This window comes from Homo sapiens, chromosome 6 (assembly GCF_000001405.40).
Source record: "Homo sapiens chromosome 6, GRCh38.p14 Primary Assembly".
Lineage (NCBI taxonomy): Eukaryota > Metazoa > Chordata > Mammalia > Primates > Hominidae > Homo > Homo sapiens.
The window spans coordinates 154,817,172-154,842,980 of record NC_000006.12 but is presented as its reverse complement, the minus strand read 5'-3'; the positions used below and the strand labels follow the sequence as shown (position 1 = coordinate 154,842,980).

General features: G+C 35.2%; 1 protein-coding gene and 1 pseudogene across 5 annotated transcripts in view; one reads left to right on the top strand and one right to left on the bottom strand.

Moving 5' to 3' along the window:
- Positions 1-8,736: 8,736 nt before the first annotated feature.
- The window catches only part of SCAF8 (SR-related CTD associated factor 8), a 100,867-nt gene continuing 83,794 nt past the window's right edge, over positions 8,737-25,809 (bottom strand). For 3 of the 5 annotated variants that reach the window (NM_001286188.1, NM_001286189.1, NM_001286194.1), the window contains 7 exons: positions 24,389-24,502; positions 22,648-22,804; positions 20,572-20,705; positions 18,603-18,747; positions 15,741-15,809; positions 11,841-12,059; positions 8,737-11,042 (listed from right to left, as the gene is read on the bottom strand). In NM_001286188.1, coding sequence (NP_001273117.1) covers positions 9,586-11,042; positions 11,841-12,059; positions 15,741-15,809; positions 18,603-18,747; positions 20,572-20,705; positions 22,648-22,804; positions 24,389-24,502 — 2,295 coding nt within the window. In that variant the 3' untranslated portion in view covers positions 8,737-9,585. The remainder of the gene's footprint in view (positions 11,043-11,840; positions 12,060-15,740; positions 15,810-18,602; positions 18,748-20,571; positions 20,706-22,647; positions 22,805-24,388; positions 24,503-25,809) is intronic. The other 2 variants (NM_014892.5, NM_001286199.2) reach the window with 1 other exon arrangement.
- Positions 17,702-17,805, top strand: RNU6-824P (RNA, U6 small nuclear 824, pseudogene; annotated as a pseudogene).

Genomic DNA, 25,809 nt, shown 5'->3' with positions numbered 1-25,809 from the left:
CTAAGGACCAGAAACTCAAATAGAGCTCAAAAAGTTGAGGCTTTGGAGACAGAACTATACAACTCCATTTTTCCCCAAACTTTGGGTTGTATACTCAAATTTGCAAAAATAATTTAATTGATTGCAATTAATCTACAACACTAACTTAGATGTCCCAGTCTCCATTAGCCATTATTGACAATTAAAGCAATAGTGAATACCTATATAGTTCCACGTGCCAAGCAGTGTTTTAATTGCTTTGGTGCTCTTCAAAAACAAAACAAAAACCAGAATTCTCCATTCAGATTTCTATATAAGTTATAGGGGGCCAGGCGCGGTAGCTCACACCTATAATCCCAGCACTTTGGGAGGCTGAGGTGGGCAGATCACAAGGTCAGGAGTTCGAGACCAGCCTGGCCAATATGGTGAAACTTCATCCCTACTAAAAATACAAATATTAGTGGGACATGGTGGCACACACCTGTAGTCCCAGCTACTTGGGAAACTGAGGCAGAAGAATTGCTTGAACCCAGGAGGCGGAGGTTGCAGGGAACCGAGATTGAGCCATTGCACTCCAGCCTGGGAGACAGAGTGAGACCATCTTAAAAAAAAAAAAAAAAAAAAAAAACTTTTGGAGTCCTTGTTATAAGGCACCTACTTAGTAAGAACCTATATACTTATATAGTTGGATTTCAGTCAGACCCAAAGCTGTTTTTTACTTAATCAAATAGATTTTGCTAGTTAATACTGTGAGAAAATTTTAAAAAGTATTAGACGTCTAATAATATATAAAATACTGAACGAATTGGTTAATTTATTTGGTAAATAAAACAACCATTTCTAATATGACACTGAAATGGCAAAATGATAGTCACATCACACTAGGGAGAAAATTTTAATAAGCAGACAAAACAAAATGATAACATTGTCCATTCTTTCAAAGCACTGACATACAAAAGTGAAAAGATACAACAGTGCACATTTTCAGGGTACCTATGTTTACTGAAGTCTAAAAACTCCTCCACCTTTAAAAGTCAGCATTATTTCTTGATGGAAGAAAAATACACAGTAACTTTTTGATGTAATACTAATATTATTGGGTTTTCTTTGCAAATTCCTTTAGTTCAAGTATTACTAAAGAAACATAAACATATGGACATTACAAATTCAGCTAAAAAACTAGGTAGTGCTGACTATCCTGTTTAATGGTAATATATGTATTAGGTATTTAAATTTGATTATTATAACACAAAATAATTTTAACATGGAATTTCTATAAAGATGTATTTTGTCACTCTACAGTGCCTGCCTCTTCCACTGTGTTTTTTTTAAGATGTTCATCAATTTACCCAATTTTGTCATAGCTGTTACCAACTGAATTGTGTCCTCTCAACCCCAAAAATATACGTTAAAGTCTTAACTACCATGTCTGAAAATGTAACCTTATTTGGAAATAAGGTCATGGTAGATGTAACTAAGATGAGATCACACTGGAATAGGGTAGGCTCCTAAACAAATATAACCGATGTCCTCATAAGCAGAAGAAAACTTGAACACAGACGCAGAGGTAAGATGATGCAAAAACATATGAGGAAAGACAGCTGGGGGGTGATGGAGGCAGATATTGGAGTGATGCATCTACAAGCCAAGAACACCAAGGACTGCTGAGAACTGCCACAAGTTTGGAAGAGGTAAGGAAGGATTCTCCTCTAGAGCCTTCAGAGAGCATCGCCCTGCTGACACCTTGATTTTGGACTTCTGGCCTCTGGAATTGTGAGAGAATAAATGTTACGTTACCCATTTTTTTCTATGTTGTTGCAGGAGGCCCAGGAAACTAATTACACAGACCATCTATTAACATCTACCATTCTAAAAAAGCATCTTTTAAGGTAAAGCATTGAAGTCAGCAAAACCTGGGTTCGAATACCTATGCAAATCAAAAGCTGTGTAACCAACCATAGGCATCTTTTGAATTCGCCTCTTCACTTGTAAAGAAAAGATAACAAAGCCTACCACATAGGGTATTTCTGAAAATATATTTTGTAGAATGCCTGCCACACTACAGGTTCAAGTCTCTCCACCCTCAAAACCCTTCTCTCCTTGTAGTGAGAGTGCATTAAACCTATGGTCAAAGACTATTTTGCTAGCAAAAATACATGAAAGCAGAGGGCTGTAATTAAAATACTCAATAAATTTTATTAAAAATACCCTTCTAAATGGAGTCCTTGATGGTTTTGCCAACTAAAAACCTATATCCTGACCCTTGGTATGACCGCAGCGATATAAATGCAACCCTAAAGCAATTTTTATCACCACAGAATACCACTTCTGAAGATTATTTAACACAAATCTTATTTTACTGAAACCCTTGCTAACGTATAAACTTAGTTCAGTAATAAACAGACTCATTATTAAAAAATGCTTGTTCACGTGCAACATTTATTTCATGTAATAATAAGCAAGATAATTACTTTTACGAAGATTAGTGGAAATATAACTCATAAACTTGATAAACACGTTCTCCAATGTGTGGATTAGGTAAGAATATGGCCACAATGGTCACAGTCATCTGTCCAAGGACTCTTGAAAAAAGTTATCAAAGGCCAGCATCATGACATGCTGTGGATTAAACCTTATATGAATATAAAGTTTAGTGACTTGAATAGAAGACTTAAAAAAAAAAACAACAAAATCAGGTTATATATTCTAATAAGGTAAAAGTACTGTAAATTATCCACTGCCGCTAAGGACAAAGATTAGTTTCTAAACTCTTCATATGAATGGAAGTGGTGAGTAAACACTAGCACTAAATGCTTACTACGTGTAAAAATAACTTTACACATTGTTTAATTCAAGCCATGGAATATTCCTAAAATAGGAGTTTTATGCACAAGAAAATGGTACTAAGTTTTAGTTATACATGCAGTGTATAAATGTTAAATTTTGGAAAGAAGCTGCCAAAACCAAATCCTAAAATATAAATTTGTAAGCAATCACTGGCTCTGCTTTACAAAGCATTTTAAAAGATATAAGGAATTTTAAATTTTATTTAATTTGCAGGAAAAAGCGTATTCAAAAAGAAATCTTAACATAAATGTCTGCCTCCAAAATAGCCAGTTATTAAGAAATTTAAAAATATTATGCCATGGTATAACCTTAAGGAAAAAAAAAACCAATCATGCAAATACGGGCCAGGTGCCTATAGGGGCTCACACCTATAATCCCAGCATGTTGGGAGGTGGAGGCGGAGGCAGAGGCAGAAGGGATCACTTGAGCCCAGGAAGAGTTCAAGGCTGCAGTGAGCTATGATCGCACCACTGCACTCCAGCCTGGATGACAGAGCGAGATCCCATCTCAAGAAAGAAAACAAAAAAGAAAAAGAAAAAGAAGAAAGGGAGATCTAAGAAAATCAAACTTAATTATTTAGCCATAGGAAAAGGAGATAGCCCGATATATGTTTGTAACAATGGAAACAATTTAGTGGTTAACTGTGGCTATAAACATATGGCTGGTTGGGTTATGTTTTTCTGCATATACATTGCCTAATATCTGGTGAGCCTCTATCATGTCAGGCACTTTATCTGATGGTACACACTAATTTTTGAATCTGGTACACAGTGTTTAAATCTTCACTACAGTGAGTCTGCAAAGTAACTTAAATCTGTGTCTTGGGTTTCTCTTCAGAAAAATAGTGAAGTAATAAGTACCTTATAGGACTGTCGTAAGGATTATATTGTGCAGGTAATACAATTATTCCAGTTCCTGTCACAGAGCATGTGTCCATTTAGTATTAGCTAATATTATCTTTAATAATGAAAATTTACCCCTTCAGATTAGCTAATAACAAACGATGTTTAGAGGCTCAGTAACTTGTCCAAAGCCACACATCTAGCTATTGTTAAAGGCAGTTTTAAAAACCCAAGGGCAATAAAATTTGTGCTATTTTTAAAAGTGTTCCAATAATGTTAAGTCTTTCCATTCCTCTTAGTTTTCTTCCTCAACTGGTCATTTACAGAAAAGAAAGCTTATTTCATAGACTTGAGGTAATTAAATGCTAGAAGTGATGTCAGAAATAATCACTTAGTGAAGGGGCAGCAAATGACTTTCAATGCAAACAACAAATCCAATTGATGGTCCCTGCCTGGAATGATGGGGTCAAAAAGGAGCCTGGAGTGCTCTATGAGAAGGATTTGGAGGCTAATTCTGAGAAAGGCAGAAAAATAAAACAAAACAATGATAGCTGCCCACAGGGGTGGGGATGGAAGTCGGGGGAGAGGGTAGGGAACAAAGAACACAGGACAACCAGGTGCTATATTTCCACCATTGCGATTCAAATACAATATACTTGAACTATCTATTGAGCTCCACGCAAAAACACCCTCAATTAACTGAGGCATCTAATGTCTCCCATACAATATGAAATTAGCCCATTAGCACAATTCTATCCCTTGATATACAATATATATTTTACAAATTACTTAGAATATTTGTTCTGTATCTTGAATAAACTTTAGAACAAGAAGCCCGAGTCATTCTAAGTATACATATGGGAGCAAAAGAGCCTGATGAAAAAGGAGGAACTTAAGTGGAGGGGATGAAAAATGCCTAAGCAAAGCTCATGCACAAATAATTCACTGATTTGCATTAGTTTTGACATGCACATCTAAGGAGTCTTACTAATAACATTGCTTCTAGACCCTGAACACCTACAATATTGGTCCAAAGAGATTCTTTCTATAATCAAAACACTTAATTACATGTATCAAGTAAATTTTCCTTGAGGTAATAATCCATGAACAAGTTTCACTTGCATAAAAAAAAAAAATACTTCCCTACAAAACCATCTCATATGCTTCCTGCCATCCCTTTCTTCCTATAACTCATCTTTAGATTAACGCTTAAATTTAAGCTGTGATAACTGACTTCTCTACTTTTGAATCATCCTCCAACACCAACTGCCACAGTTAACTGCATGCTTTGTTGAAACACTAAACATAATCTCATGTAACTAAAATATTTGGATTTTTAAAAATCTTAAGAATCTCAAGAGTATGGTATAATAAAGATGTACATATTTTAATATATCTGAAATGGTGGTATGTGGGGATTTAAAAAACCATATATACACAGGAAGGTGCATGTATGCATATATTTTATATATATATCACCCTCAGGAGATTCTGTATTAGTAACTCTGTGGTGACCACCCTCTACTCCCCATACCCCCACCAAAATATTTTCAGAGAGCTCCACAGGTGTTTCTGTTATACATTTCCTGCCTGGGAACCAGAGAGAGGGGACATCTCAAATTGCTTTCAATATTTATGTGCCCATATTTAAAGTATGCCTTTCCACCAAAAAAAAAAAAAAACAAACAATCTGGGCCCTTAATTTTAAGTTCTAGTTTTAGAAAGTTTTGCTGGATATCAAGATATCTTGTTTTTAAATCTTCCATTAAAAATTATAATAATCAATATTTCTCTTCAGAAGTAATAAATTTTCAGTGTCTACAATTTGTTAGTTTAAAAGATATCATATATGAAACCACAGCATGAACAATATTAAGATTTATAATTCTCTGCCACACCATAGTATGACTACTTAAAATAATTTAGACCTTTATTTTGCCTAATGAATATAAAGATACTTGCCTTTCTATATATTATGTAAGTAAAATATTTTTAAAGAGAAATATGTTAGTTTTCTTTGTAAGTTAAAAGCCAAGTATTTTATTAATATAGCACCCAATAAAGTAATGATGATGAAGGCACATAAGGTATAACAAAGTTTTAATATGAGAATCTTCTTGTTCATTAAAGGTTGTGCCCATCATATATATATATAATATAATCTGTTAGATATATATTTGTTAGATATCTAATATATATACACAGAACAGAAAGCTTATTAGATATCATATATATATTAGACATAATAGTGAAGAAAAACAAAATATTCTCTAAATCACTTGAGGTGATATGTGTGTGTGTGTGTGTGCGTACGAAAGTTTAGACTGGGACGGGTGCTGTGGCTCACACCTGTAATCCCAGTACTTTGGGAGGCTGAGGCGGGCAGATCACGAGGTCTGGAGATCAAGACCATCCTGACCAACATGGTGAAACCCCATCTCTACTAAAAATACAAAAAAAATTAGGCGGGGCGTGGTGGCAGGTGCCTGTAGTCCCAGCTACTTGGGAGGCTGAGGCAGGAGAATGGCCTGAACCTGGGAGGCAGAGCTTGCAGTGAGCGGAGATCACGCCACTGCACTCCAGCCTAGGCAACAGAGCGAGACTCCATCTCAAATAAAAAAAAAAAAAAAAAACAATGTTTAGACTGGTAGAAAATTTATTCAAATTAACTGATTAACAGTAATGTTCATATATTCTCACTAAACTGAAAGTCCATTTCAATAATAAATATTGTATTTATTTGATACTAGGAAACTTCACGTTTATCTCTGAATTAGGAATGTATCTATAAACACTAGCATGTCATATTAGAAGTATTTTCTATTTCTGAATGGTGTTTCTTACAATCAATGGCACCTTATATCCCACGAAATACAGTGTTTATTTAAAAAGCACTTTTTCAAATTAAAAAGATGACTTCTCCTTTTTAAATTTACAAAACGTCCCCTAACCCCCAAACAACCCTAAATGTGTGGCTCCTTAAACTATAATCTTTTATATGAGTGAAAAATGGCAAATAAATTTAATGAAGAAACTAAACTCTCAGGACAAAAGGAACTGGTCTGGTAAGAATGCAATAGCTTAAATAATGAATGCATTTTTATCTATTAAATATTATATGGAGTTACTTCCAGAGTTTTAAGTAATTTCATACTTCTAGTATTTTCATCTTCCAATACTTTCAAATTATTTGTCTACCCTTTATTGAAATAAAATTAAAATAAAGGAACATATGATGCAGATTACTCTGCTGTAAACTAAGTTTCTATCAGTGCATGCATTTATGCTAAGAACACAAGCTAATGTTTAATGAAATGTTTAAATACAGATAAAAATTAGGTGTTCGCTAATACTGCAGAAAGGCATATCATTCTAACATGTCACAAATTAAAACACTACATGATTTGGTGTCTAGTTATCACTGCTTGCAACACTTCAAACCAATGTATTAAAGTGGTTAGGTTACTCCTTGCACATTTCTAATTGCTAGTATTCTAGTGACAGAACTGTGACCAAAAGCATAAAAAATGTGATAGGTCCTATGCCAAATTTATCAAAGTAAGATAATTAACTTTTCTCTCCATCATTTAAAAAATGGCAAATGCAATTATGACTTTTGAAAATTCTGAATGAGGATAATCTCTTTTCACTTAAATTCTATACAACAAAAAACAAGGACAAAGAACGAGCACATGATAATTTCTTTTAACTATTTTAAAAGAGTGTCATCACACATTTCCAAGATTGGTTTCTAGATACAGTACCGATAACTGGTTAGGTAACTTTCACTACTAGAATCTTCAAACCAGTGCAATGCTTGTACATTTTTTTTTTTCAAGTACACACGTGAAGGCCCAACAGTGATAAGAAGCTTGGCATCAAAAATCACTAGAAAGTCTCATGCTTTTTATCGCTATTTAATCCAAGTGACTGTCACTTAATTTTAATAATGCTAAACAAACTAGTTTGAGAGAAATCTCAGCCAATATAATTTCCTTAAGGGCAAGGCCAATATTTCCTGAACATTAAAACTTTGTACCCATGTAATAGTTTTTCCTCATTACCCTAAGGAAAAAAGAGTTGAAACCAATTCAAATTACTGATTGAACTGAATTACCTTGGAAGTAAATACCATTGAAATATTTTTACTCTTTACTTTTCTAAATAACAAAATAAATACTGTACTATCCCTGTTCAGAACTTATAAGAAGTCTTTCATTTTTGACGAGGAACCTTAAAGTTCTTATAGCTCTCTAGGTCATCAGAGGTAGGCAAGACCAATCCAATTTTAAATGTCTGGTGTGTTCTATCATTTTTTGGAGCTATCTTTGCTTAGAAATTTTAGATAAACAGAGCAAATGATAAATTGCTGGTAAGGCATTGGAAACAAAATGACTACTCATAGAACCAAATAAAAGCCTTCCATTAGAAACTAAAAAACACCAATGGTTTTATATCTGTGTATATAAGTAAAACCTAAAAGAGAACAAATAGCAAATAAAAATTAAAAGCAAAAGCAAAAACAAACAGGAAGCCAACCCCTACTTTTTTCCCTACTCAGTTTACCTTGCAGGCTACAGTGTTACCCAGAGCCCTACAAAACACATGATGGGTATTATGTTCCTGGTATACACATTAATGTCTTTAAGTCCACCAGCACCACTACACATTTTGTGCAATTAAGAAATTAACTTCAGGCACGTGACCAGTGAGTACTTTAGTGTCAGTACTATCTACGCAGAATAGCAAATATAGTGTGAAACAAAGCAATGCAAGCATTTATGTGAAATTTGGCTCCATGCTAACTCTGGCTTCATGCTTACCTATATTAAAAATAGAACTGCCAAACTACCAGTGTATCTCTTTATAATATCTCTTATTTTACCTTCATCAAGACCAAGAGCTTTAACTATAACCCATGTTAATTAGCCAGATTTCTCCAATATTCTACCAGATTTAAAAGAATATTTTATTATCTAAACTTTTTCAACTTTCTATTTTCTCTGTATGTGCATGAAGACGGACATACAGAGAAACAGAAAAAAACTACACGACTTCCACAATAAACATACACAGATATTATACACATACTGAGGAGGCTGCATGATTTTTATATCAAAGTACATGCTTTTTCCACCACATAGTTCATTGTTGTTATGATAGAAAGCTTTTGCAAAAAATAAGCACATGCTAATAATAATTCAAGGTTTTAAGAATTTATAGGTTAAAAAAATACAATTCCTAGAACACTGTTATCAAACAAATAAGTTTTATTGGCATCTAAAAACAAAATTCACCCAACATTGAAACGTACTTTAATATTTATGTTGTTGTTTTCTTGTTTCTTTTTTACTCACTGCAGTATGAGGAACAAATCACAAACACTTACTTTGGAGAAACAGAGACCGTAGTGTAGATTTTACAAAATCACTTTTTAAAATCTCTGTATTGTGCTCCTCAAATACCTAGAGCCAGTCTTTGCATAAAATATCACAGCTTTATCTATAACCTTAAAATTCTGCAGCAGCCTAAAGATATGGATAAGATATACCACCACTTGCTATTCTGAAATATATCTATTACCATATCCAACCTAATGATAGTATCTAAAAAATTCTTTCTTCCATAGGAAGTCTCTGACAAGCTGTTATTCATTTCCTTGACGTTAAAAGAATCTGGGGCCAACATTTGTATTTTATCAGAAAAAAATAAAAAAAAAGTTTACCTACCATGTTCATATTAAGAACAATGTCTATACAAGTCAGTTGTACAATTATTTTAAGAGAAAGGTGAACATGAACATCAGATTAACTTAATTCTGGCAGACAAAAGTGAACAACTATGGTCCAGTCAGCCATTATCTATTACAGAGAGATGACAACTTTACAAAAGGTATCTTTTACCTACTGAGTGATGATTATGTCCCCTCAGTTTCTGTGCTTTCTACCACTGGTTCACTTTCTATATCAGCAACTGTGTCACTCTTCTCCTTGTTTATTTCATTTGAAGATGTCAGTTTTTCATAAAGTTCAGGATCATTCTGTACTGGTATAGGTGGTGGCTGAGCATGTCTCTCTGTATTTTCACCATTAACCTGAGGCACATTATCACCTTTTCGTTGAGAAGTGGCCCCTTCAAAATAATCAAAAACCCGAGCATGAGGAGGGGGAACCCAAGTGTTTTGAATTCTGTCTCGTCCAAGACGATTTCCATTCATTTCTCTGCAGAAATCAAAATCTCTGTCATCCCTATCCCTTTGCCTCTCCCAGGGTCTTCTGCGGTCATCAAAATCTCTGTGAACTTCTTGTCCAAATCCTCGGTTCCAAGGACCACTTCTAGGATCAAATCGATAGTTTCCAGACCGAAATCTACCTCTTTCTTCATGTAAGCCTTTTGGACCACCATAGACCGGTAGAACCCGATGCTCTCTCTCATCAAAATCTCCTCTATGCCCCCAGGGCTTCTCTGGATTAAAGCCAAAGTGGTCTCTTCGACCAAGATGATCTATACCTGGCCTCACAAGATTCTCTCTTATATCTACAGGAGGTCTTCCAAAATGATCCCTACCATCTAGTGGAGGCCGTCCAGGACCTTCTCTTGGATCTATAGGCCGCCCAACCACATCTCTAACATCCACAGGGGGAGGTCTACTAATGCTTTCCCTGGTTTCTATAGGAGGAAACCGGTAATCTCTATCTCCTTCCTGTTGAATGTTATCATTCCCAAGTGGTATCCTTTTTTCTGGGTTAGTAACATTGTCTACGCTTTGTCTTCCAGGAGCTAAAAAAGGTCTTTCTGGTTGACTAAAAATATCTCCTGGAGGAAAAGGTCCACGGGGTGGTGGATGAAGAGCTGAATCAAGTACCGATGGGGGTGGGATTCCCCGTTGGGGTGGAATTCCAGGCTGTATTAAAGGGAATCTTGGCCCAGGTGCCTGTGGTATTAGTCCCGGACGAATGTCTAACATTGGCATTGTGGGCATCCTTTGATTAGGGATACTTAAAGGGGGTAAGTTTTGAGGTCCAGCTGGTGGCTGTGTTCCCAGAAGTCCAGGAGTATTTGGAACATTTGGTGGCTGTACTCCTACAAGTCCAGAATTGTTAGGTATATTTGGGGGTAGCACTCCCAAAAGTCCAGAACTATTTGACACACTGGGTGGCTGTATTCCCAATATTCCAGAGTTATTTAGAATATTTGGTGGTTGGGCTGCAATAATCCCAGAACTACTGGAAACATTAGATGGCCGGACCCCAAGAATTTCAGAATTACTTGATACATTTGGTCTTTGGACTCCCAGAATTCCAGAATTGCTTGTCACATTTGGCGGCTGTCCTCCTAAAATTGCAGCATTACTTGAAATATCATTTGGAATCACTAAAAAAAAAGAGAGAGAGAAAAAACTCAAAATAACAGTCAAAAGTTTCCAATAATTTTAGCTTAATCAGCTACTTGTATCCCCCAATAATCAAGGTACATTAGCTACTACATGACATCTTTTTAAGTTAAACAGAAATGTCAGGTATTATACTGATTTTCCACCTTTAATAAAAGCCTTTCTAAACCATAATTCTTTTTTTTTTTTTTTTTTTTTTTTTTTTTTTTTTTTTTTAAGAACAGGAGTGGAGGTTTAAAAGGCTTTAGGACAGGAAAGAAAGGAAAGAAAAGTATGCTTAGAAGAGACCCAAACAGGCATCAAGGTCAAGTGCCTCTAAACCATAATTCTTAATGTACCAACAGTGGGACCATAGAAAAAGGACTTACTGCTTTCAAACACCATATTTATCTTCTAGAGCTAGCTGGATAATACCTATTAGAAGTAAGTTCCCGATAGAAGTTACTCACACCCAATACTTGTTCATTTTTATCTTCCTATAAGTATACAGATTTTGTGCAGTATTATTTTGACAACACACTGAAGTAGTCCCAATAGGACAAAAAAAAGGGGGTGGTGGTGTGAGGGTCTTAATGGAAACATATTGAAATCTAGATTATCCTGAACAGAAGGCCACTTTTTCAAATAGAAATTTTAGGACATAGTGATCTCTTTTAAAAAAAAAGTGCGACATTTCAGCATCTGTAGATTGAAGTGGTTACAAACGCATGCCACCCCAGAATTAAACACCAAATACAGAGAGGCAACCTCTTTTTTTAAATTTTATTATTATTATTTACCTGATCTGGTGTTTTCACCAGAAGAAATCTGGTGGTCTATAAGATGAGGTACTTTTTCTTCAGGCTCTGCCTGTTTAGTTGGAGCATTAAAAACATTTCCAGCTGGCAGAGCGGAAGTAGCAAGATTGCTGGCAACAGAACCGCCTGGTATAACAAGGCTACCAAATCCAACATCTTTCACAGTTTCCGGTGTCATGGATAATGACGGCTGCACTAAAGCTGTTTAAAGAGGAGAAAAATATATTTCAGATTTAATGAGTCAATTCATGTGCTAAGTTTTCTGGCAGTCTGAGTATTTAATTTAATGGCATCTCTGTATTACTAAGCACATTATATAATAACCAATGCTCAAATGACAAAAGGAGTCATCATGAATAGGCTAAATTACATTTAGAAAGCTTTATCCAAAAATAGGGAAAACTAACAATTTTCAGAAATATTTCACCAAAGATGTTAGGACCAGCACTCAAAAAAAGTAAATTCTAGTAACAAAAAAATTAATAATTTTCTAGGAATGCCAGATAAAGTGAATGTCTAAACATACAGAAATGACTAGTGCAGACTGAAATGTATGAGTATGAAAATCTGCCCAATCCCCCTGCAATTACAATGTACTAGGGTCCTAACATTCATTTAACATTACCTTTTGTCAGATGAAGTTAGAAACTCATCAGTTGAGAATACATAAGGTGGACTACAAATATGAAGCTATAAACTTTCCATCTTAAAGAATGGGTATAAATATCCCTAAGTGCATTTGTCACACATATTAAAAAACACAACCAGAGGAATACAAAATAATTACACAATTAAAATTTTTAGCCCAATATGTCACTTAGAATGCCGTAAAATCATACTTGGAGAACTTAGGAAATGTTTTATCTTCATATGTAACTCTAGATTACCTGAACAAACTGTTAGCATACAACAGAGCTACAAAAATAAAAACACCTGTGGTCATGCACAAGAATTAAGAGAATTAAATGAGACAGCAAAGGCAATTTGGATAGCATCTGGCACACAACTATTTCTCTTTTTCCATTAATTAACTGCAGATTTTCCAAAATTAGTGGACTAGGAAAAAATTGGGAGGTTGGCCCTAGGGTAAGCCTCTGTGAATAGTGAATTCAGAAATGACTTCTGAACACTTTGTCTAATTTTCAGAAAGAATAAACAATTCTTCCTAATGAACCAACAATAACAAAAAGAAAGACTTTTAAACCTATCTTTTTTTTGAGACAGTCTCTCGCTCGGTTGCCAGGCTAGAGTGCAGTAGCGTGATCTCGGCTCACTGCAACCTCCACCTCCTGGGTTCAAGTGATTCTCCTGCCTCAGCCTCCTGAGTAGCTGGGATTACAGGCGTGCGCCACCACACCTGGCTAATTTCTGTATTTTTAGTGGAGACGGGGTTTCACCATGTTGGCCAGGCTGGTCTGAAACTCCTGACCTCGAGTGATCCACCCACCTCAGCCTCCCAAAGTACTGAGATTACAGGCATCAGCCACCATGCCCGGCCAAATTTTAAAGCTATGTAAACACTGAAAGGGAGAAAAAGTTTAAGAATACAAGGAAAATGAATTAGATAATCAAAAGTTAAAACCTTTATATATCACATACACTCTTCAGGTCTAATTTTTGAGGTAGGCTTGCCTGAATTACTAAAGGTTTTTTCAGAAGCTTGGAGAATTACTGTACATAAAGAGTACACTAGAATGAAAAAATTATTAAAAGGGTATATTTAGCATTTCTGTAACGTCCAATGATAGAAAAAAGGAAATGAATAAATGTCTATATTTACTGTTGCATTACATTACTTTTGAAATGTCTATTCTAGTAAAGAAAATACAGATATCAAAACCAAGTAAGCTAGAGTGCATATCCCATAAAAATGTAAAAAAAAAAAAAAAATCACTTATGAAACTGGCACCACATCTACAAAGAAAAGATTTATTTCAGGTAACCCTGATACACAATAATTTGATTATACATTATTTATTAAACTTTTATGTTCAGGGGTACATGTGCAGGTTTGTCATATAGGTAAACTTGTGTTTGTTATATAGGTTACTCATGTAACAAACAAATATTTATAGATACCTGCACATGTACCCCTAGTTATGATTATACACCTTTGGGATAAAAAAAAAGTGGCAGAAAAATCTTAGTGTCATCTGGTAGCCTTGTTGGCAGTAACACTACTTTCAAACTACTATGTGTATGTCTATATTGTATGAAAATGAAAAGCAATCACGTTACTGTTTTCAGTATATGAGAACACAAGCAAATATAAAAATCAAAGTAGCTAATTTCTTTAATAATACTTCATATTCATTTTTTTCTGTTCAAAATGCACATTTTCTAGTTTTGTCCACTAAAAATTCCTAGACTCGACGAAAACCCAAGAGCAAAATGAGAATCTAGTACCCAGACTGAGTTCTCTAGATACCATACCCCAACTGGAAAAATGGCTGATTCTCAGATTGGAGGGAGGAAAACACAAGATTTGTCTGGGATATACTGGGCCAAAAAGCTAAGTAGCTCTCAAAACTAATGTGACAGGGAGGCAACACAGGTCTCCCACCGTCCAAAGATGAAACAATCTACACTTCAAAAAAAGAAAAATGCAACTGACTAGAAGTAAAAATCCATTAATCCATAAATACTAAAGAAACTGAAGGAGAAAAAAAAAAGGGAGAGAGGGACAAGGGAGGAGAAGATGAAGAGAAATGAGAAATCTCTCTTTGGTCACTGGGTATCACTGGAAATACCTATAGATCTCATGACTCTGAGAAATGGCAATTAAAGAAAAAAATAGCATCTACCCTGACTTTGCTGTACCAACCACACTTCAAGGTAACTAAGTACCATTACCTGATTAAGGAAAACTTTTTCTTCATTTAAGTTAAGAAACATGGAAGGAATTATACATTTAGAAAGATCACCACTCTGCAACTAATAAAAAGTAGATCTAAGAAACAATGATCAATGGATGAAAGGAAATGTTTTTAATGACCAGGTTCTACTGTTCCACTAAATGTTCTGATCAATCTTAACATCATTAAAAGGGGAACAAAACACCAAGAGTGAATCAAAATGCAAACTAAGGACTTTGGGTGATAATGATTTGTCAATATAGGCTGGCTAATTGTAATATACGTACCACTCTGGTGGAGGATGTTGATAATGAGAGCCTGTGCAAGTGTGGTGGGTGGGGGCTTATGGGAATCCTCTGTACTTTTGGCTCCATTTTGCTGTGAACCTAAAAAACTGCTCTAAAAAATAAAGTTTTACACCGCCCCCCCCCCCGCCCCGCCCCAAAAAAGGTGTGGGGCAGGAGGACAAAAAGGCACTGCAAGACTTCTGATGTGATAGATAATACCAATCCTACAGCATTTTGCTTCTCAAGTATTCTTGCTAAAACAGGTGAACCGGAATCTAAGCAAGCCTTTGGTGCTAACTTCCATTTTACAGGAAATGCAAAGACAGTAATTTCAGTACCACAAAGAAGCAAAAAACCAAATCCATTATTTAAGCTCTTATATACAGAATGAACTGTTTCTTCAACAAGTCATGAAGCATTAAGAAAAGGAAGGGAGGACTGGGGCAGGACTGCACTAACATTAAGACATTTAATACACATAGCAAAACAAAAAACACACAAATAGGATGAGAGGACCTTCTCTGAATTTTGACTAAAATAAAACCAATCATAAGAGTTTAAGACAACCAAGCAAATTTCAATAAGAACTGTCATTTACCGTATTTTAGAAATTATCTAACATGCATTTGTCTTAAAGCTTTCATAATAAAAATATTAACGGTAATTCACAAGAATGAGAACTGACACACTAAAATTAACACTACCATGAATAAAGAAAACTCTAAAAGTAGAAAACTTACATGTTGGTACTACTGGTGGAATCGTAGGGGGTGGCACAACAGGTGGGGGAACTGGAGGCGGCATGAAACCTAGACAGAAAAAAAAACCCCAAAAAATAGCACAAGAAAAATTACTTATTTTAAATCAAAGATTCCAACAGCTACAAATGAAACTTCATATTCTTAAAATGGACTACAACCTCATATTTATATATATTTTTTCTATTTTAGAAATGGCTTTTATATACGCTGCCTTATTTGATCCCTAATAAGCTAGGTAAAGCAAAGAGGTCCTGATTTATGAGAACATCCTATTTATTTACTCATTCAAGTCCCGTAGCATGCTCTATGGTGCTGTAAAATCAAAAATTAATAGGAGCCAGGTAAACTGTTTATATATGCCATTTTACTTATTTGATACGTGTGTTTACTCACTAGATCAAAATATTTCCGTTAACTCTGGATAACACTATATTATGTTTTAAGCACTGAAGTAAATCTTCAATTTAATATTGGCTTTTTAATGATTTCAATTAAATTATTAATTTTAGATACCGAGTCTATGTTTCCCAGGCTGGTCTCAAACTCCTGGGCTCAAACAATCCTACTACTTCAGCCTCCCGAGTAGCTGGGACCAGAAGCACACACTATGGCACTCGGCTTCTTAATCATTTTAAATACCACACTATAAATTTGCTTCTTTGCATTTTTTGAAATATAAAGCTACCATTACATTCAACTAGAAAATAGTGACTAAAATAATTCTAAACTATAAAATCTACTTTGGTATTCGAGGTTTGTTCCTCCTCTCACAATCCTAATTATAACTCAATTTTGTGGTAAATTACATGATACACATATTTAATTTTATTTTTAATAAAATATACCTTTTGTACATTTTAAAAAGTGGCTAAAAATAAGGAAAGAATAAAAATACATGATTTTTCAACAAGTTAATAAGGAACAATGACTTTATAAAGCCTATATGGTTATGATTTTTGAAATAATCACTTAAAAATATCTTCTGAAATATTTAATTTTGAAATCACAAATACAGAAAATTAAACTTTTCAATATTTAAAATAAAGTTATTAAAATCTGTATCAATTTCCAATTACACATTAAACTGTAATTTAGAACACTTACATGACCTATAAATTACAACCATTCTCAAATTTATTTTTTAGTCTTGCTAAAAACTCTACCCAACATCTAAGAACTTAAGTTACAGAAGTCAACATACCGTATTTCTTCTCTTATAATATGCAAATAATTCATGAATTCAAATGCATTTTAATTTGGAAAAACTATATATATATTGTTTTGACCTAATAAACTTTGATAACAAAATTCTTGAATTAGAGTTTCTAGGTAAAGACTATAACTTAAATGCGTATCTCATCAATATGCGTATATAATTGCTTATATAGTTTAAGATGGGGCTTTTAGGCTGTGCGCGGTGGCTCATACCTGTAATCCCAGCACTTTGGGAGGTTGAGGTGGGAAGATCACTTGCTTCCAGGAGTTCACAAGTATCTCTCCATCATTCTTCTAACCTAACCTCCCATGGTCTAATAATAAAAGCTTTTTTTTTTTTTTTTTTTTTGAGACAAGGTCTCACTCTGTCATCCATGCTGGAGTGTAGTGGTGCGAACACAGTTCACTGTAGCCTCCACCTCCTGGGCTCAAGCCTCCTGAGTAGCTGGGACTACAGGTGTGTACCACCTCACCTGGCTACTTTCTTATTTTTTGTACAGACAGGGTGTCACTCTGTTCCTGGGCTGGTCTTGCACTCCTGCACCCAAGCAATCCTCCCACCTCAACCTCCCAAAGTGCTGGGATTACAGGTGTGAGCTACCATGCCCGGCCTAAAAGCTCTATCTTAAACTATATATGTAAGTTGTGTTTAAGTAATCTATAGTTTTTACCTGGAAAATCTAATTCAAGAAACTTTTTTTGTGTATCAGTAATTTATTAGGTCAGTACTTGCTTTGGCAGCACATACCCTAAAACTGGAATGATACAGAGATTAGCCTGGCTCTTGTGCAAGGATGACACACAAATTTGTGAAGTGTTCCATATTTAAAGAATAAAAATAATTTATTAGGTCAAAACAAAGTATTACAAATTCAATTAGCCTTTTAAATATAATTTCTAATGTCAAAATGGAGCCTACTGATTCTTAGGAGGGACAATGCAAATTTTCTGATGAAATGCTGATAATTATTAGAGAACTTTCATATAAAAACTGCAATGGAAATTTTACATTACTTTAAGAGTAATAATTCTTTTTTTTTTTTCACCTTTTTTTCTTTTTGAGACAAAGTAATTGCTCTGTTACCCAGGCTGGAGCACAGTGGTGTGATCTTGGCTCACTGCAACCTCTGCCTAACCAGGTTCAAACCATTCTCCTGCCTCAGCCTCCCGAGTAGCTGGAATTACAGACCTGTGCCACCACGTCTAGCTAATTTTTGTATTTTTAGTACAGATGGGATTTCACCATGTTGGCCAGGCTGGTCTCAAACTCCTGACCTCAAGTGATCTGCCCACCTTGGCCTCCCTAAGTGCTGGGATTACAGATGTGAGCCACCATGCCCGGCCATGGTTTTCAATTATTCTAAAGAAATTCAATATTTCTCTGTCAGTGCTGCTTCTCCCACCAATCTGCATCCTGAGAACAAGTTAGAAAATAAAATTCTCTGGCCCCTACCACAGACTGAGTAAAGCAAAAACAGTGGAGGCTGGGCCCAGCAATCTGCGCTTTAACAAGGCTATGCATGCTAAGGTCTCAGAACCACTGCTCTATGGTACTTAAATCTGGAAGAAACACAACTTAAATGATAATCTAAATAGAGTTCAAATATTAAAACAAAAATTCCTTACCAGGTGGTGGTTGTGAAGGGTTAAAACTTGCTCTTAAAAAAGGAGGTGGAGGGATTGGACTGAATCCAGGAGGAGGAACCGGCATCGACACAGGAAATGCTGGTGGGACTAAACTAACTGTAGGCACGGCTGGCGCCACTGGAATCTTTTGTGGATAGACAAAAAAGTTCACTCATCAGTTTATTCACCTGCATCTTGGAACAACTAAAGGCAAATTATTCTATTTCTCTTTCAGGATGGTAACAAATACTACTAAAAAGGGTTTTATGCCCCCTTTTTGTATACTTGCAAGTGAACCTACTTAGGGTAAAAACAAGGCAATGTTATTCAACAGATAGTTTTTACTTGGAGATTATGAATTTGATCTTACATTCAAGTGATGTAAACTAATGGTCACCTAGTTCAACACTGAATATTATGCTCCATTTTAAACTGCCATCTCCCACTCAGTAATACCTGTTATGCAACCTAACCACCATTAGGAAACATGTCAATGACAGCTTTAGAATGGCCTAAATTTCTCATAATTTATTTTCTAATCCTAGCATAAGTACCTTTTACTCACTCTAGGTAAAGTCGCAAGTATTCATCTGCACCACAGCTTTACCTCTCCTGTAAATTTCACATTACATCAAGTGTCTATTCAACATCCCAATTGTGCTGACAGAAAGATACTTCTACCTAACAACATGTATGAAACAACTGATTTTCCAGTCGTCCTTCCCAAAAGAACTCTTCTCACAGTCTTTCCCAGTCTCAGATAATGGTAACTCTATCTTTCCAATTTCTTGGACCAAAAACCTTGCCTCTGCTTTTGCTCATAATAACCCCAAATCCAATCGTACCAGGCAAAGTCCTGTTGGCTACAACACCTTCAAAATACACCTAGTATCTGACCATTTCTCATTACCTCCACTCTTTTCTCATTACCTCCAGTGCAATAGACACTCCAGAAGTCTATTCTGAGCCACCACCAGCTCTCATCTGGATTGCTACAACTGTCTTTTAACTGGTCTCCCTGCTCAAAGCTCACTACAGCCTATTCTCAAAATAGTAACCAGTGCAATCCTTTAAAACTGTAAGCCAGATCAAGTCACTCCTCTGCTCAAAATCCTCCAATGACTCCTCATCTTTCTCTCTCTCTTTTTGTCACATGTAAAGACCCACCATCCATCTCATTCCAAGTGAAAGCCAAAGTCCTTAGAGAGGACTGGCTTTATTCTAGCCCACTTAACACTCCTGGACCACACCAACCATATTCCTGGTGTGGGACCTTTGCACTGGTTGTTGCCTCTGAACAGAATGTTCATTATCAGATATCCACATGGTTAACTCCCTTGGTGCTTTTAAGTCATTGCTCAAATTTCTCATTCTCAATTAGGTCTATCCTCACCATTCTGTTTAAAATAGATCAGCCTTACGCTACTTTTTTCCTTCCATAGGATCTCACAATCATATTTATTTTACGTTTTCTGTCACCACTATTGAGAATAAAAGCTCCAAAAGGGCAGAGATTTCTGGGGGTTTTTCACTGATACCTAGAAGAGTGAGTGTCACAGAGCCAGTACTCAATAAATATTTGTTCAATAAACAAACATATTTAAATATGAATGACATCATTTCTAAAAATAATTTTTCAAAAAATTTTAATCAAACTCATTAAAATAACTTACTGTTCTATCAATTTGACTCCTCAGAAAAACATGAACCTAAAAAAATCCTCTGAGTTTTCAGAAACAATATTTCCATATTTACCTTTATTTTAAACCTAAGGTGTTTATAGCACAATGATACCACAGCATTAGCAGACTTTTTTTTTATTTAAAAGAAATATTCTTTTCCCTAACACTACTGACAAACATTTATTCTAATATGGAGATTTTCATTCCGGTTTTATAAAGTAAATACATGATTAAAAACAGAAATGTAAAACAACACAAGAAAAAAAAAACCCCACTTCAACACTAACCTGCAACATAGCAACAGGAGGAGGGAAAACCTCTGCCTGGGTTGTGACCACTGTCTCCTTTTCAACTGGAGTTGGGCTCTGAGTTGTCTGGACCGTCTCTTTAACAGGTTCTGAGCTTTTCACAGTTTCCCACTCTAAACAAAATAGTTGAAATTGATTTCCTTTGGATAGGTGCAACTTTTCATTTTCTTCTTTGTATTCATTTATTTCACATCTAAATCCTTCATCTACCTTGGCACATCTTTAAGATATATCCACAACCGTAGGTGCCACTCTAGATTTCTGCCCAGATTAATCTGATTAGGATACTATGGAGTTCAAAAAACCATGAAACATGAGACACAAAGGAAAGACACTAAAATATTTCATCTAAAGAAAACACTTAGAAGAGATACAATAGATATGTATCTCAATGGCTGGCTGATGTAAGAGGAACTAACCGTACTCAATTTTTTATCACAAAATACAACAAAGGAAGACCAACTAGGAGAGTATTAATCCAATACAATAAAATCCTTCTGAAAACACAGCTATGCAAAAAGAGAACAAAGAAGCTCTAATGGTTCCTCTCTCATGCTTCTCCATCTTATTCAAAGTAAAGATCAAGTAAGACAAATAAGATTTACATGACTTTGCTCCTCTGTACCTATCTGCCTTGATCTCCTACTACTCATTCCTCACTCACTCTGCGCAAGCTATAATGGTCTTCTTATTTTTGAATACAAACATGGCACTTGCTGTTCCCTCCATATAGAATACTCTTTCCCCAGATGGCTGCCTGCCTTACCCTTTCGAATATCACATTCTCCATCAGATCTTCTACAACCACATAAAAACTGCAATACCTCCACACCCACACTGCCCATCTCCCTTCCCTGATTTTTTTCTTAGAACTTATTGACACTAAAGTACTATATAGTTTATCTATTTTGTTTATTATCTGTTTTTTTCACAGATAATAAATGTGTGAAACATAGGCTAGTAAACTTTACAGCATTTGAGGCTTTATGGGTCATGTGTTCTCTGCTGCAAGTGTTCAACTGTTATTGCAAAAAAAAAAAAGTAAAACAGAATAGGAAAACAAGTGAGCATGGCTATGTTTCAATAAAACTTTATTTACAGAACAGGCTACCAACAGAAAACTTTATTTACAGAACAGGCTACCAACAGGATTTGGACCATGGGTATTAGGTTGCTGACCTCTGCGCTACACTCTACAAGAGGAAGAATTTTTGTCTATTTGTCTCACTGCCATAATTCCAGTTCCTAAAATTGGGCCTGACACACAGTAGAAACTAAAATATGTATTAAGTGAATACACTGGAATAAGCAGCCATTGGCGGGGTGGGGTGAGGAATAGGCCTGACAGGAAGAAAAAAAATGGTTCAAAATTTTACCTTGGTCTGAGAAACAAATATTCTGAAAATTAGCTAACTCTGATAAAAGAGCTAAGGTGTGAAGAAAAAAGGTGTATGCATCTATTTCAGTTCTTTTTCAAATGTTTAGATTTCCTATTGGTTATAACTGCAAATCATTTTGTCAATTTTTAATTGAAATCTTTTAAAATAAAAAGATAATTTTGGGGATTAAAAAAAAGCAGGCTGATGATTATTTGGTATTGTAAAAGGCATCCCAGAAAGTATATAACATTGTATGCATCTGAACTCCCTAAACTACGATTCTATTGCTGCTATTTTCAACATGGATACTACTCAAAATAATCTGCAAAGTGTTTCAAAAAACCTTCTCAAGTTCCCACTTAAACTGAAGCAATTAGAAATATTTAGTTTCAAAAATCCCTCCCACACATAACTCTCAAGTATCAAATTGAAAAAAACACACATATATTTTAAAATGCTACATTTATATAGACTTCTATACTTTCTAATCTATACTTTGACATCTATTAAAATAGGTCCCATTAAGCATGTACACTAGGGCATAGTAATGTATCTTTTCTCTTTTTTGGGAGATGAATCCAGGATACACAGTTAACGCTGTCATCCCAAATTCACTTCAGCTACAACCTTCTAAGCATACTTTTTTTTAACAATAAAAAGACCTTAGAATTCTTACCAGTATTTACAGTCTCCTGATCAATCATGCCTCCTTCTGCAAAACCTTCCAAGTCATCCACTTTAACTTTTTCCCATGGTATATATGTAACTCCAAGATCCACATCCCAGAATTGTTTGTATTCTGTTTTTACACCTTTGTTTAAAGCCCAAGCGATCTATTGTAAATGGGAAGAGGAAAAAAGAAAGGTTATACATACATACTATAAAAACAAGGTAAAAAGTTCAAAATTTTATTTAAACAATGTAAACACATTAAAATTGGTTTTAGAAAACAGCTGGAAAAGCAAAGCTGAAAAACTAACAGTAGCCAAAAGAATTTTTTTCCAGTTGTTTCCCTTTGTCTGAGACAGGGTCTCACTCAGTCACCCAGGCTGGAGTGCAGTGGCATGATCATGGTTCACTGCCTTGACCTTCCGGGCTCAAGCCATCGATATTCCTGCCTTAGCCCTGCAGCAGCTGGGACTGCAGGCAGGCAACACCATGCCCAACTAATTTTTGTATTTTTTAGTAGAGACAGGGGTTGTCCTTAAGTGCTGGACAGGTGTGAGCCACTGTGCCTCACCAGTTTTGTTTTTTAAAATAAAACTTACATTAGACATAGTATTTACAATAAAGGATTTCCACTTCTTTTTGTAACTCTAATAGTGCAGTCCAGTTCCAAAGAAAATCCAAATCCACTTTTCACCATAAAAATGTCAACCTACATGAGGGGTGATTAGAATAGCATTTTCTTCACTTTTTGAGACAGGGTCTCACTCTGTCGCCCAGGCTGGAGTGCAGTAGCATGATCATGGCTCACTACAGCCTTGACTTCATGGGCTCAAAAGATCCTCCCACCTCAGCCTCCCAAGCAGCTGGGACCATAGAAGCATACCATCACACTCAGCTAATTTTTAAGTTGTTTTGTAGAGATGAGGTCTCGCCATGTTGTCCAGGCTGCTCTTAAGACACTCCTGGGCTTAAGTGATCCTCCCACCTCAGCCTCCCAAAGTGCTGGGACTGCAGGTGTGAGCTGCCACACCTGGTCTGTTATTTTAGAAAAAATCTTTTATTCCAGAGGAGACTAGGGACACTTTAGTTTACACAAGAAACTCAGTCATGAATGAAAAAAGATGAGCATATATTAACTTTAATGAAAGTAGTTAAAGTTTTTAATTCAGTTGCAGAAACTGATAAGATAAATAAACTTCAAATAACAGAAATCAAACTGAGTTAATCATAGAAAGTAATGGAAAGATATTAAAAAAACTCTCAGTATAAAGATTAGGAAGAAAATAAAAATATTCTGATAGATAATCTCTTCACAAGGGCCTGGTTTATATTTTAAAAAGATGTCAAGAAAAAAGAAATCAATAATATAATTAGAAGGTATAGTTAAGGAGTACTGGGAGGAAAAGTGAATGAAAGACAATACTATAAAATGAACACGTTGTACTCATAGAATGGTGCCCTAGTTGACTCAGAAAGCTGTGCAAGTGTAATTTCAAGGAAGTAATTGACTAAAGTTCTCGTTATTGGACTTATTTTTACCTACATCTAATTCTATAACTCAACGAACTGAAACAATAAGTTTCTGATGAGGTTTGTCCATAACATTTAAAAAGAATATAATACAGAGACATTCTAATAATCCAATAAAAGAAGAGCTTGTGACCCTCTTGTGAAAAACTCAGACTTTAACATAACAGACATTAAAAATACTGCCCCCCTACCCCAAGTTCCAATCCACCAAATCTCACCTTAATGACCTTGGACCCAATTTTATATGATCCAGAACTGAGTTTCTGAAGAGCTCGAAATGCATCTTGTCGATGAACCATGCAGACATAAGCACAGCCCCGGGGAGGAATCATCTAATAAAAAAAATTGTTTTAAGAAAAGGTATAAGAACAGAAACTCATTCTGGTATTTTATGGTTTAAATGACACAAAACATTGACTACTTACTAATACTTCAATTCTGATAGATTACTGACTTATTTTCCCCTTTCTTCCTCCAGCTGTTTATTAGTAGGTACAATTCATGTACAATTAATAACTCAATTTTTAAAATCCCAAAATTCAGAACTCAATTAGGTATCATAAGCCACGATAAATGTGAAATCTTAAATATCACATGGCAATATTTTCTGAATACAGAAAAAGAACTATTAAAAACAAAACAAAATGTATAACTTCGTATACATAATACCACCAGATAAAAGGAAAGTAGTATTATATGGCCAAAATATTTGAAGGCAACAATTTATTCCTAATATTACTTCAATTTTTCCAAATGTTATACTGAGTAATGCAAAGAGGATTCTTCTTTTGGGGAATTATCTTATCCTTAATATAAAATCCATAATCTGAAACAATTGATGATAAAAATTTTCAGTCTTATAAAACTTTATTTTGTTCAAGTGCTTCTGGCAAAGTTTTAACATAAAGAAAATAGCCTCAGTGTTAAGATCTGAGACTGATTTATAAAGCATTTAACTATTCTACACCAGACCATACAATTATCCTTAATATATTAACTCAGAAAACTATTCACAGCATTTGTTTCTTTCTGAGAAACTCAAAAGGCATTCTATCATTTTATTTTCACTCTATACCTAATAAGCCATATCTGTTATTAAAGCTTACATAGAAACCTTTTCCTCAGCCTTGCTAACACTTCAAGCTACTGCCTCTTTAATATTAATATCAAACTTATTAAAAGAGAAATATATCTAAACCTTGACATTCTTCTTTATCTATTACAATCTAGCTCTAATTCCTCACCAACCCACTGGAAAATACTTTACTCTCTTCAAGCTCACCAATGACCTACTAAATGCCAAACTGAATGGACTTTGTCTTTGAAGTCCCCAAAATTAAATGAGTGGATTATGAATCTTCATTTCACAAAATAACTTAGTGCTTATTATTTATAAGTACTATGCTCTCAAAACATAATACAATAAAGGAGAGGGATAAGGCAAACAGATGCTCAAGGGACCGTGATACAAGAAAGATTACAAATACGATCATCAAACAGGAAAATCCAAAATGCTACTTGGATGCAAGGTCTGTTCAGAGCAATGATTCCTGCTGTGCGTCAGAACCACCTATGCAGCTGTGACACTTTGCTAAAAATTTGAAGACATCGAGCATGGGCATCCCTAATTTTTCAAATG